Here is a 13644-nt window from a genome sequence, read left to right on the forward strand (position 1 = left end):
GCTGGGATTACAGGTATGAGCCACAGCACCTGGCCTCTGTACCACTGTCATCGAGGTGGTGATTATTGTGATGGCTTAGCCAGTGGTTCTTAACTCTGGTTGCGTGTTAGAATCACTCAGGGAACTTTTAAAAGAAATTCCAAATCCCAGGCCTCAGTCTCACGCAATGAAATTGGAACATTTAGGGGTGCTTCTGGTTTTGATATATGTAAAAGAAACTCTTTGGGTGAATCTAACTTACAACGAGGGTTGAGACCCACTGATAGAAGCATAAACGTTTCAGGAAGGTCATGAGTGCTGGTAGGGGTAGAATCTCATGAAAAACTTTTCTTCAGGTAGATTGTTTAGTTTGACAAAGGGGCAAGAAGGTCTTAGCAAGAATTTTGATGGCTTGTTTTGGTTCTGTTCTTCTTGCAGTTGCTATGTTTTAACTATTGCCTCTCATTTTCTAGGTATGTAGGAAACCTTCCCAGAATATTTGACTACTCGCCTTTAGATCCAACACAAGATTTCAACACACAGATGTAAGTGCCAGATTTGTATTTTTTTTTTTCTAGAAAAAGCATCCAATAAAATGTTCATAGTGGATATCTCTGGGTTGCAAAATTAAAGGCAATTCTTCATGTATTTTTAAAAAAGTGTTCCAAAATGAGAATGTGTTACTTTTATAAGAAGATAAAGTTATCTACAAAGGACTGAAGAAAATTTGAAACTGGTATCAGTATGAAGCAGAATCAAATAAATAAGTTATTTGTGTGTAACGCAGATCAAATGCTCCACCTAACAGCAGTTGTACTTATTGATATTCATAGATAAATTTAATATTACTATGGAAAAACAACAATGACCTTTTTGTTTCTGTTTCTCTGTCCTGGCCAGGACTAAGTTAGGACATGGCCTTCTCTCAGGCCAGTATTCAAAGCCTCCGGTGAAATCTGAACTCATTGAACAGGTGATGAAGGAGGAGCACAAGGTATGTGTCCGAGCGTTTGCCATGTTGACATGTAGGTAGGGAGGAGCTTTAGAATGTGGGTTTCCTATGATTTGGCACATGGTGGCCATAAATTTAGCAAGCTGTCAGAATAGTAATGTCATTTCAGTGTCTAGGGTGCCTGTCTGTATGCTCTTAAAAATTGTGACAAGGAATAGCCAGGGTTGTGTTTATAGAGACAGTTGCTTCATGGATTATACATGTGTGCCATCATTAACCATCTTTAGAAACAGTATTCTTTATAAAATAGAGCTGAGATCGAAGGACTAAATCTCATAAAAATATAAACATTTTCCCTTTGGTAACACAGTCTCGGCACTTACAGTGTCTTCCTTCTCCTAAGCCTCAACTTTCTTGGCTAGAGTTTCTCAAGAGTCTGGTTGTTAAAAAACAACACACAGGGTCAGGCATGGTGGCTCACACCTATAATCCCGGCACTTTGGGAGGCCGAGGTGGGTGGATCACCTGAGGTTGGGAGTTCGAGACCAGCCTGGCCAACATGGTGAAACCCTGTCTCTACTAAAAATACAAAAATTAGCTGGGCGTGGTGGTGCACGCCTGTAATCCCAGTTACTCAGGAAGCTGAAGTGGGAGAATTGCTTGAACCAGGAGGTTGCAGTGAGCTGAAACTGTGCCACTGCACTCCAGCCTGGGCGACAGAGTAAGACTCCATATCAAACAAACAAACAAACAAAAAACAACACATAGATTCCTTAGTCCCTCCGTAGGACTGAGGAATCAGAATTTCAGGGGAGGGCTTGGCATTCCTCAGGTTTGGTAAGCTGCCGGGTGGTTCTTAAGCAGGCTCAAGTAGGAGAAACTCCGTGGGCCAGTCGTTACTAATTAATAGAACCACTGAAAGATAGGCTTGATGTTTTAATGGCCAGACCTGCATTTCCACTGGACCCTCCCTATGCTGCTTGTTGTACAACTCCAGAGGGTACTACTCATAACTTGGTCTTTTTGAGTGGTGCCCTTGGAATTGTGTAGTGCACAGCTTACGCATCTGTGTTTGGCACCGTCCTCTCCCGTTGCCACAGATGCCCTGAGTGGAACGCGTGCCCCACTTCCCCGCCACCTGCTCTGGCTTCCTAGTATCCTGTCTTGACTTACTGGGCAGGCTCGTTCAGTTCTGTGTCTCAAGTGTTTATCTTAAGGCAGTCCTTCTTAGCCAATACCTGTAGACTGAGAGCAAGAATCAACAGTGAATAAATACCCTCTTGTTCATCAGGAAGCCAGCTAGTTGTGGAAATGGAGCAAGCAAGAGAAGGGAGATTGTGGAAAGAACATATAGAGGCAGCCTTGGGGATGGGGAGAAAGAAGTAGGTTGTAAAGAGGGTGGAGAGGGAAACAGACATTCTGAATGGCAAGCCCAGGAGACCAGAGGGGTATGGGAATAGGAAGAACTGAAGTTCTCAAGTTGCATTGTTACCCAGCATTGTAAGATAGCAAGGTCCTTATCCACCAGAGGCTGGAAGGCTCCCATCTGAGATACAGTTGAGGAGGTGGCTTGAGGGTAGGGCTGGAGTATGGGGTTATCCAGGCTTCTTCTACTTCTGTGCTTCTGTGAAACTTTGAAGAGGTGATTGTGGATAAACCTCAGTCCAAAATTGTGTTATGATTGGATTGGTTCTGCGTTCTCAAACAGGCGGTGTCACTTCTTGCATGGCTCTTCTGGGGCAGGGTCCATGCTCTGTGCTGGTGGTGAAGGAGCTGGGAGTCGGACTCAGGAGCCTGGCTTTCCCTTCTGGTTCTGCAAGGAGTTGTGTGACTATGGGCAAGTCATGCCACCTTCCAATCTCACCATTCAAGTGGCAGAATTGATCTAGGTGGTGGTGGTGAATGTTTTAGGCCCAGGAGTCCCCTTTCTAATGTAAATAAAATCATGGACCTTGCGTGACCGTTTCTGTGCTCTTGGGATCTCCTCATTTGAGAAAATGTGAAATGAAAAATCATCAATTTAGTGCTGTTTGGAAATAAAATTTGGTTTTGTTAATATTACAGTGTCCTTTTATGTTAAAAAAAGTAGTTCTTATATGAGCAAGGCACACTATCTATGCAGTCTACAAGTAGTATCTGTTTGGAGCCCTTGTCTCTCTTCCCCCACTGGATTCGGTGGCTGTAGTGTAGTAGCTCCTTACATCTCCAGGGTCTGAGGCTTGTAGGTGGGAGCCACTGCTCTGGATCAAGGTATGTGACCTGGAAGCACTTGGGCCATCTCTGGGATGTGTTTTGCTTGGTCCACACATAAAATCTAAATTTCCATCTTCTCTTAACCATTCAGAACGTCTGACAGTCCCAGGCCCGCAATGACAGCTGGAGCCAAGGGGCAGCCCTCCCTTCACACAGGACACACAGTCCCCAGCTGGCTCCGGTCCCTTTGTGACTCATGACCTGACTGGGACTCTGGGTATTTGGATTTGTGACCCTTGATCTAGATGACTTGTGAAATCCTTTCCAGCCCTCAGGTGCCACGATCTAGTGGTCTTGAAGAAAGAATCTTGATTATGAGAAGCATATATGTGCATCTAGGCAGGGGCAGGGAGGGCCCATCCAGCTGGGTGGGAGACAAGTCGGTCTTTGGTCCAGCATCGGTAATATTTCTTTAACACTCAAATAGAGCTCACATTGACCATGATTTTCCTTGTGGCCCTGGGGGTGTCCGTTTCAAGCTGTTCCTTGAATAGACAAATAATTTACAGCAAAAATCTCCACTTTCCTTGACAGTAGAAGGAATTAGTTTCTCAGGCATCACGATTTTCACTGGCAGTTGGTTTCAAAGGAACCAATTTGTGAGACTCTTTCCTTTTCTCAGTTATCAGAAGCCCTTTGGAAGGATGGTCCTGTCCCAGGCCTCTGGTGTTTGTGACTTATAGATGAGCCTGAAATGCCCCAAGAGAGGGAAAGAAGATTCACTGAAACAGAGAAGGGGATAGATGATGAGAGGAATGTATGGTGTGGGGGAGAGAGCATGAAGGATGGGTCAGAGCCATGTGGCAGAAACGCCTTTTTACGGGGCCACCACCACGCATGGTCTTAATAACTAGCATCACATAGTGCTTGCAAAGGGCCAGGCTCTTCCTCTATATTCACTGATGCGGAAACGGATGCACAGAAGCCTTGCCCAAAGTTGCAAAGCCAGTGAGTGGCAGAGCTGGGAATTATATCAGGCAGTTTGGCTCTGGAGTCTGTGTTTTTGATCACCGCATTATCCTACTTCCCTAACAGTTGTTCCAAGACTTATTTCAGGCTCCCAGTGCCTCAGTGTGTGGATGGTGGCAGGTGGATGACAAAAGGGGGCGTTTGAAGTTTGCAGAATTACCAGGTAGCCCAGTTATGAGGGTTTCTCACTGGCGTCTTCCAAGTTGAGTCATTTCTAGAATATATACTTCCCAGTATTAAATTAATCTGCTATAAACCAAGGTTAAATCTAGCTTTTTATATATGCATGCTTAATAAACATTGTCATGCATAAAAAGGCAGCAGTATTTATTTGTGGTACCGCCATTTTTACTTAAATATGTTGAATTGAATTTTAAGATTAACTTGCACTTGCAGTAGATAATAGTTACTATAAAAGGGCATTTTTTTCTTCAAAAAATATTTTCTCTATCTTTATGCATTCTAAGGCAGTGCTTTCAAATGTTTTAAAGCTGAACACTCTACCTCATTTCTTCCTCCAAAGATAACATATCTTAAATAACTCTGTATTCTGAATAAGCTGCATTTCTTAAGCGACAATTTATTTGATTTCTCATCTAAATAATCCTCAACACATACTTGCTGGTCTCAACTTTTCATCAACGTGAGATAACCAGTGTTCTGCTTCAAGGTGGTATAATTTTAGCTGTGAACATAAGAGCTTTGTTTCCCTTAACCTCTATTTTCCTAGGTTAGACACATGTAACCTTTCTGATTCACCTTTGAAATATGAGTAATAGTTCGGGAATGCCCCTGTCCTCTTAGCTTAGGAGATTTGGGGTTTGGGCCTGGGTTAAACACTTACTGGTTCAAGGTTTATTGTTTAAGGTTAAAAATTTAAATCAACAGACTTCATACACTTTTGTTTTAGGGACAGGCAGACATGTGTCTATCTTCCTTTTATCCTGTGGTTTAAAAGTATCTGTGCAAGTATTGCTGTGATGTGATAAAAGCCTCAGTCTTGCTGCTTGCTTATTAATTAAAGCATTCGGCTCAGGGGAATATGGTGGACTGTGTCTGGCTGTCTGTGTGGTGCACTCTGTTAAACAGAAAGTCCTGTGTAAGCATTTGGGAGAGATTCTGAACACTGAAGGCCTCCCTCTAATTTTAGCTGATCTGTTTTGCAATTGCTGATGGAGAAAGTAAGTACAGTATCTTATTAATATGACAGATTCCTTAGTTGGATGCTATTTTGGTGACTTCCTGGGTCTCTGTGTTATAAAGTTAGTGGTCAGGACTAGCCATTGCCTCAGGTGTCTGAGAGCCAGCTCTCAAGTGAGAGTGTGTGTTCCCTGAAGGCAGGGCCGACTCTTGGTCAAGTTGGGTCTCTGCCTCTCATCTTGTGAGGTGTTGGGCCCATAGGGGACACTCAGGTGATGTCACTGGCTCATTGCTAAATGGGAAACATGCTTTCTGTAATCTAATTCTTTGGTTCTTATTTTGGATTTTTGGTTTCTTTTAGGGAACTGCCTTGTCCAGAGCCTGACCTTTTTTTTTTTTTAAAGGAAAAATTATTTAAATTTGCATATATATACAAAAGTAGAGAGCAAAGTATAATGAATCTCTATGTACTTGATGTGCAGCTTCAATAATCATCCTGCAAATCTGGTTCCACCAGTTTCCCTAAACTCTTCACTCTTCTCTTTCATTTCCTTTCTCCTTTTCTCATTTTTTCTCTTCCTCTCCTTTTCCTTCCCTTCAGTATTTTAACATAAAATTTAAACATCCTCCTTTTCACCTATAGATGTAGTTATGCATCTGTAACTATAATACCTTCTTTCTTCTTTTAACATAAATATTGTATTAAAAGTTTAAAGTGTCCAGCCAGGTGTGGTGGCTCACACGTGTAATCCCAGCACTTTGAGAAGCTGAGGCAGGAAGACTGCTTGAAACCAGGACTTTGAGACCAACCTGGGCCACACAGTAAGACCCCTGTCTCTAGAAAAAATAATAATAAAATAATTAGCTGGGCACAGTGGCGTGTGTCTGTAGTCCCAGATACTTGGGAGGCTGAGGTGGGAGGATCACTTGTGCCCAAGGGTTTGAGGATGCAGTGAGCTGTGATTGCACCATTGCCATCCAGCCTGGGCAACAGCAAAACTTCATCTCTTTAAAAAAAGCTGTTTGAAGTGTTAAAAGCACAGCAGCAAAATTAACAACCATCCCTTAGTATCACGAATACCTAGTCCATCTTCTGATTTTTTCCTGCATTATCCAAGATATCTTTCTAAAGTCCCCCTCCTTTTCTTTTTGCAAACTATTGATTTGTTGAAGGAGCTGGACTATTTGCTTTAAGTTTGCTCTAAAGATTGCTTCCTTGAGGTATTGTTTGACTTGTGTTTGGTATAAGGTCGCTAGATCTGGAGGCTTCATGAGATTCAGGCTCAACTTTTTCAGAGCCTGACTTTCTAATAACTAGGTGTGAAGTGAGCATATTAATAGTTGACCACGGGAATTAGTAAGACGTCCCCTCTGAAAGCAGAGAGTAGGCATGGGGATGGGTGTTAGCAGATGGGACCAGGTGATGATCAAGGCACTAAGCTTGAAGTAGATGAGTTTGAGCTAAGATGCTCTAACCCAGCTGTGAACCCCAGGAACTGGTCTGCAGCATGATGTGAAGAGGAGGAGGTAGCATCTGGTTAGGGAGCTTTTTCAAATAACTTCTAAATGATCGACAACTCTCAAGCAATAACTTGACTGTTGAATAGAAGATTAAGAAAAGTTGGTTAAGGAAAACGAAGAAATGAAATGGTCACAGAAGTGTGGGAGGGGAATGGCTGAGAATGGGCCACAGTCCAGGTATGGGGCTGAATTTCTAGTGTTTCCCACCATGGTCTCTATTGAAACTTCTCCTTCTGGTTGTATGGCCACATGATGGCCCAGAGCAGCAGCTAGCTCTTCAGAATTTACTGGCTTGTTAAACTTCCCAGAGCGGCTGCTTGCTATGGTCTGTGTTGGGGACTGGCAGCCACACAAAACTTGAATCACAGATTATAAGAAATAACACTATCAGCAGCAGGCAGTGAATGCATGCTGATGTGAATGCCTAAACAGAAATGCACAAATGCCAAGGGATTTATTCCAAGTGGTGCCTCCATACTCTTCAAAGTGGAGAAATAACTGTTGGACTGGCTTGTGATGTTGGCCCTAGAGTTGTGTAGGCTTGAAGAAGGGTTATGCAGACTCTTGATGTGTTGTCTTCTCTTTAGCAGCTAGTAGGATGGACTCAGGGACCTCAGAAATGAGATGTTGGCACATGTATACCAAAAACAGCATAAGGACACTAGAGAAAGGGAGTGGAGAGATTTTTTAGCTTTGTGACCCTGGACTTAATAACTCTGTGCCTCAGTTTCCCCATCTGTCAAGTGGAGAAAATCATCATCACCACCTCATGGGGTTGGGTGAGTTAAGAAAAATATATATGTAAAGTGTTAAGAACTGTGCCTGGCACGTAGTCGGTATTCATCCAAGCACCTGAGATTTTATAGCTCTCAGTAAATATCTGCTTAATGAGTACATAAATGTTAGCCATTATATGAAGCTAGGGCATTATTATTGCATGCTCGTGTCAGCTGATACTATGTGATATATATCAGCACTGTGAATGAAGAAAGTCACAATTTTTACATAGGTTTCAGGAGGTGTATATACAGGTAGTAAAATTAATTGTCAGGTAGTAAAATTAATTGCGCTTTGGCTAGCGCTGGAAGCACAACTGAAGCCGTGTATGTGTGTAAGCTGGTCATTTATATACAGGTTGTTAGTCCTTAGATGCCCAAATGCTGCCACTTTGAGGAATTCTTTGAGAGCTACCAGTGGTGTTTCAGGTCCTCTGTGGTGTTCCCTAACATTTGTTATCGATGCGTGTGTATGTCTCTCATCTCCTCTGTTGTCCGTAAGCTCCTAGAAGGCAGAATCTCCAATAGTGCTCTGCATGAAGCAGGCAGTCACTAAATACTAAATGCCCAGACCAGATTATGTTTTCAGCAAGACAGGGAAATTCATCAGATTTTTATTAGAAAACACTGCATAGAACATGTGTGTTGGAGGGATGTTATATATGGAGCTGCCTCTTTGTCGCAGGGAGATAGATAAAGGAGTTTTCTCATCAGCTGTTGCATATGACTGTGATTCTGCAAACGTGTCATCGTCCCCAGACTATAGGCATGGACCTCCATGAGAATTCGAGGAGGTGTAAGACATGGCCTCCACCGCAAAGGCTGCAGAGACAGACCAGAAGCAGGCTGAAAGTTAAAGAAGGTAGAAGGCATTTTGTGCTCTGGACTTCAGAGGAGAGGAATATGGTCTGCAAGCTAAGCAAAGGGAGGTTTTATGGAAAAGTGGGTGGGTAGCAGCTACAGCCTTTGCAGAGAGGACATAAATTACTTCTTTGGCTCAAATGACAAGGTGAGGTTTGTATGACTGAGACCTAAGTGTGCTTACTTGTTTTTGCTACAGACAGCCTGGAACTGGAGTTAGAGCCACTCTGGTTAGGCTTTGTTAGCTGCATGGCAGTTGGGTGTTAAGACCACTTTGAGTTGAAAGGCCTATCTGGCACTTCTCTGCCAGTCTCAGCTTCCCGAGTGAAGATAAGACTAGTGTCCGCTTTCTAGGGTTACTACAAGTATTAACGAGACAGTAGGTATCACCATTAGTAGATGGGCTGAACTTGGAGGAAACATTTGGGAAACAGCTTTATCAGGTGCACATCTTTATTGCCAAAGGTGATGTGGAATCTTCCTACCTGCCTCTTCAGAGCATCCTGGGCAGATCCCCTAGATTCCTTGTGATTTTCTGTAGGTTACCCGTATTAAAGAGCCAGTTTTAGTCTTCTTCATTCTACCTAGCTCAAGAGTTTCAGAAAACAGCAGTGCTGAAGCATTAGTGTCAGCATCTAATTTTGTTTTGTTTTGTTTTGTTTTTGGTTGTGGGGGCGGTCTTTGCTCCACTTATTTGCCTCTTTCCACCCGCTGCTGGCCCCTCCATAGTCAAGGGTCAAGGGGATTGGAGATTAGAGAAGTAGGCAGAGTCTTTTCACTTGCCAAGTGCTGGTGGGCTCCCTCTGGGCTGCCACATGTCTCCTGTCATGGCTGGCTTTTTTGTGGGGGAACATTGGTGGTTCTTTAGAGCTGCCTCCCCGCAACTGTTATACCACCCTCAGGGACCTTACAAGGACCTTTCCCTGATGCTCTGTCCAGCTGGCCTCGGCAGCCGTCACCTCCTCCTGCCCTGAGCCTTCTCCACTGGCAGATAGCCTGCCCACTTCTGTAGGGTCCTGCATGGGGCATTTGGCTGCCTTCTGAGCTGTCCTGCTGGTCCCCCACGAAATCCAGCATCCTCGTCCTGCCAGAGTTGCCCTGCTGCCTGTTCTTCCCCCGCAGCCTTTCTAGCAGCTGCAGCCAGGTGAGGGGCAAGCCCTCTACAAGCTCCTGGAACTCCCTGTGCTCTGGTCCAGAAACAGTATGGGGTGGGCTCGTGAGCTTGAGCAGCTCTGCAGTGCTTCACTGGGCCGTGCAATGCCATTTTTCTTTCTTGTAAGTGCTCCATTCTTCAGGAGGGGTCCTCTCCTATACCCTCATGGAAGGGAAGGGGAGATGCTGCAGAGCTCTCCTCTCATTTATTTATTCATTCATTTATTTATTTATTGAGATGGAGTTTTGCTCTTGTCGCCCAGGCTGGAGTGCAATGGTGTGATCTCGGCTCACTGCAACCTTCACCTCCCGGGTTCAAGCGATTTTCCTGCCTCAGTCTCCTGAGTAGCTGGGATTACATGCACACGCCACCATGCCCAGCTAATTTTTTGTATTTTTAATAGAGACAGGGTTTCGCCATGTTGGCCGGGCTGGTCTCAAACTCCTGACCTCAGGTGATCCACCTGCCTCGGCCTCCCAAAATGCTAGGATTACAGGCATGAGCCAACACACCTGGCCTCTCTTTTAACTTCCATCGGAAACCTCTCCTCCCAAGCTTGCTTTGAAATGGGCTGTGACATTTGGTCACTGCGTAGCAAGTCCTGTGAGAATGAGCCGAGTGCCTGACTTTAGAAAGTGAGTACTTTCTAAAGTGTGTGTCACCTATTGTCCTAGTTTTAAGTAAACAGGAAGAGTCTCATCCTGTGTTCTTCATAAGGTTCATAGTGCAGGGCCTGGCACATAGTAAACACCCAGCGAGTATTGGCCACTATCATTATTTACCTTCTTTGGGCTGTAGTTTTCTCATCTGGAAAGTGGAGTTTATGGTGGGTTCTGCTCTGCTTGCCGCTTAGGGCTGTTAATTTGCATGAAAGTATCATAAGTCCATTTCATTTTTATACATTAGCCACAGCAGAACGGGATCTCTCCGCGCATGTTTAAGGCCTTTGTAAGCAAGAGCCACCCGGAATTCTCCTCTAACAGGCAGCAAGATGCCCAGGAATTCTTCTTGCACCTGGTGAATCTAGTAGAGGTGAGTAGTCAGTCTTCACGGATGCTCAGCGGGGTTGTAAGAGGGTGCCGAGCCACTCAGTGCAGTCTGCTGTGGCTTGATCAGAATGCCTCCCCACTCTCTTTCTTCAATCTCTCCTGTTAAAGCTGGTTCAGAATCAGATCCCTGGAAACTCTCTGCTCAGCCAACTTGATGTGACTGCTCTTCACACTCCAGTTTCCAGACACTTGTGGATCTCTGTGCTTCTTTTAACCTGTATGTGTTATAGGAGTGCTTGCCAGTTATTCCATTCACAATTTATTTTTTTCTGGTCTTTGTGACAAAGTTCCTTAAGAGCCCTGCGTGGTATTTGGTGTCCTCCTGCCACTGCTCAAAGATGATGAGTCTGCTTACATCAGAATCGAATGCCATTAAAAACTTTTTTTTTTTTTTTGAGACTGAGTCTAGCTCTGTTGCCCAGGCTAGAGTGCAGTGGCACAATCTTGGCTCACTGCAACCTCTGCCTCCTGGGTTCAAGCAATTCTACTGCCTCAGCCTCCTGAGTAGCTGGGATTATAGGAGCCTGCCACCACGCCCGGCTAATTTTTGTATTTTTAGTAGAGATGGGGTTTCACCATGTTGGTCAGGCTGGTTTTGAACTCCTGACCTTGTGATCCACCCGCCTCGGCCTCCCAAAGTGCTGGGATTACAGGTGTGAGCTGGAAAGCCACTGAGAATTCCTGAGTAAAGCCTTTTTTTTTTTTCCTGGTTACAACAGTGTTCTTTGTGGAAAATATAGAAAACACAAAGGAGAACATCAAAATCCCCCTTAATGCCACGCCCTGCAGCCAGCCAGTGTTTTTTGTTTGTTTGTTTGTTTGTTTGTTTTTGTTTGTTTGTTTTTGACAGAGTCTTGCTCTTGTCGCCCAGGCTGGAGTGCAGTGGCACGATCTTGGCCCACTGCAACCTCCGCCTTGCAGGTTCAAGTGATTCTTCTGTTGTTTGTTTCCTTGTTAGAACTAGGCTGCAGTGGTTTCTCTTGTCTGCCTCAGGGTTACTGATTCACATGTCTGCTCAGGTCCATGATCTTTTCTAACTCTGTTTATCATTTATTAGTGATAACTTTTTTTTTTTAGAATAAAGCCTCCCGAGTAGCTGGGATTATAGGCACCCACTACCATGCCTGGCTAATTTTTTTGTATTTTTAGTAGAGACGGGGTTTCACCATGTTGGCCAGGCTGGTCTCGAACTCCTGACCTCAGATGATCCACCCGCCTCCGCCTCCCAAAGTGCTGGGATTACAGGCATGAGCCACTGTGCCCGGCCAACAGCCAGTGTTCACAGGTTGGCATCTGCCCCTCCCATCACTTTCCAGGTCTTATGTTAATTCTCTACATGCTCTTCTGTAAGCAGTGTTTTCACTTAAATGTTTGCCACATCATCACATCTGTTAACAGAGCATAATTTCTGTTTTATTTGTACCTAATTTACATGAGTGTATTTATATAATCATATTGTACATGTTTTTATGTTTCCAGGGCAGCCCTTTATTTTTTTCCCTTTCTCTTTTGATTGGCTTCTCCTCCTCCTTTCTTCTCATTCCATGAATTTCTCTCCCATGGTTTTTAATTTAATAATATTGAAATAGTAATCCATGATGAACTATATTTTATTTTACCAATCCCCATTTTTGGACTTTAGATAAATTCCAGTGTTTTTCTATTAAAGTGCTTTGGTGAATGGGCATGGCCAGAGGAAATGTTTAATAAAGCCAAGTGTTTACACCGGGTTTAGAGTTCATTTTCTACTAAGTCTTAGTGGCTCAATATTCATACATTTACTAACCTGATACAATCCATCCTTCAGAGGAACCGCATCGGCTCAGAAAACCCAAGCGATGTTTTTCGTTTTTTGGTGGAAGAACGCATTCAGTGCTGTCAGACCCGGAAAGTCCGCTACACGGAGAGGGTGGATTACCTGATGCAGTTACCTGTGGCCATGGAGGCGGCAACCAACAAGGGTAACAATTCCAAAGCGGGAAATTGGTACTGTGTGTCTTCATATGGGAAAACCCTCAAATCAGAGAGAATGGTTTAGTCACTGAAGTGTGTCAGGAGTAGACCCAGCCCAGGTGATGTCTGCTTTGCACATCTCTTTTCATCTCTTTGTTAGTTCCCATGTGACTTTTCCTTTGAGAAGAATCAAATGCATCACAGGTTTTATGGAGGCGTTATGGTTGGAACCTACGTCACTGCCTATAAATTTGGCCAACTACTGAATATGGAGTCAGCATAATTTTGGGGAAAATTATTGGTAATGATGTATGTAGAAAATTCTTTAACACTGTCATTTATAAGTTGTGCTATAAAGTCTGAGGGAAATGATCAGGACTGCATTTTTTAAAGTTAGACATTCGAGCAGAGGTCTCTTGAAATAATCCAGCTTTGGCACATGAGTATTTGAGCCACCTCTTCTGGGAGATAAATTGTGTCAGGGTTCTTTGTAGAAGCAAAGCCCATTAGAAGGGTCTCTGGGCTTTGGAAGAGAGAAGGAGGCAGAGATGTGGCACTCATGTTTGGTGCCTTCTCCTTCCATCAGTCTAAGCTGGTTCTTCCTAGGCAGAATAGACAAATGGCATTTCTTCGAATTAACATCGTAGAAGCAAAAAAGACAAAATAGCTGCTGGATTGTGCATCTCCTGTGAACTAGTCATTTTTGTAAAGTTCAGCAATTCCACTATGCAGCCATGAAAAGGAATGAGATCATGTCCTTTGCACATGGATGAAGCTGGAAGCCCTCATCCTCAGCAAACTAACACAGGAACAGAAACCAAACACCGCATATTCTCACTCATAAGTGCGAGTTGAACATTGAGAACATATGGACACAGGGAGGGGAACATCACACACTGAGGCCTGTTGGTGGGTGGGGGGAAAGGGGAGAGAACTTAGAGGACAGGTCAGTAGGTGCAGCAAACCGCCACGGCACACATATACTTATGTAACAGACCTGCACGTTCTACACATGTATCCTGGAGTTTTTTTGTTTTT

The 13644-nt window shown here is 43.9% G+C and overlaps 1 protein-coding gene across 6 annotated transcripts in view; it reads left to right on the forward strand.

The window, feature by feature from the left end:
• USP13 (ubiquitin specific peptidase 13) overlaps positions 1 to 13644 on the forward strand; it is a 136362-nt gene that overhangs the window by 76697 nt on the left and 46021 nt on the right. For all 6 annotated transcript variants that reach the window (NM_003940.3, XM_011513269.2, XM_017007426.2 and 3 more), the window contains 4 exons: positions 453 to 524; positions 880 to 973; positions 10511 to 10636; positions 12461 to 12614. In NM_003940.3, coding sequence (NP_003931.2) covers positions 453 to 524; positions 880 to 973; positions 10511 to 10636; positions 12461 to 12614 — 446 coding nt within the window. The remainder of the gene's footprint in view (positions 1 to 452; positions 525 to 879; positions 974 to 10510; positions 10637 to 12460; positions 12615 to 13644) is intronic.

Source organism: Homo sapiens, chromosome 3 (genome assembly GCF_000001405.40).
Source record: "Homo sapiens chromosome 3, GRCh38.p14 Primary Assembly".
Taxonomy (NCBI): domain Eukaryota; kingdom Metazoa; phylum Chordata; class Mammalia; order Primates; family Hominidae; genus Homo; species Homo sapiens.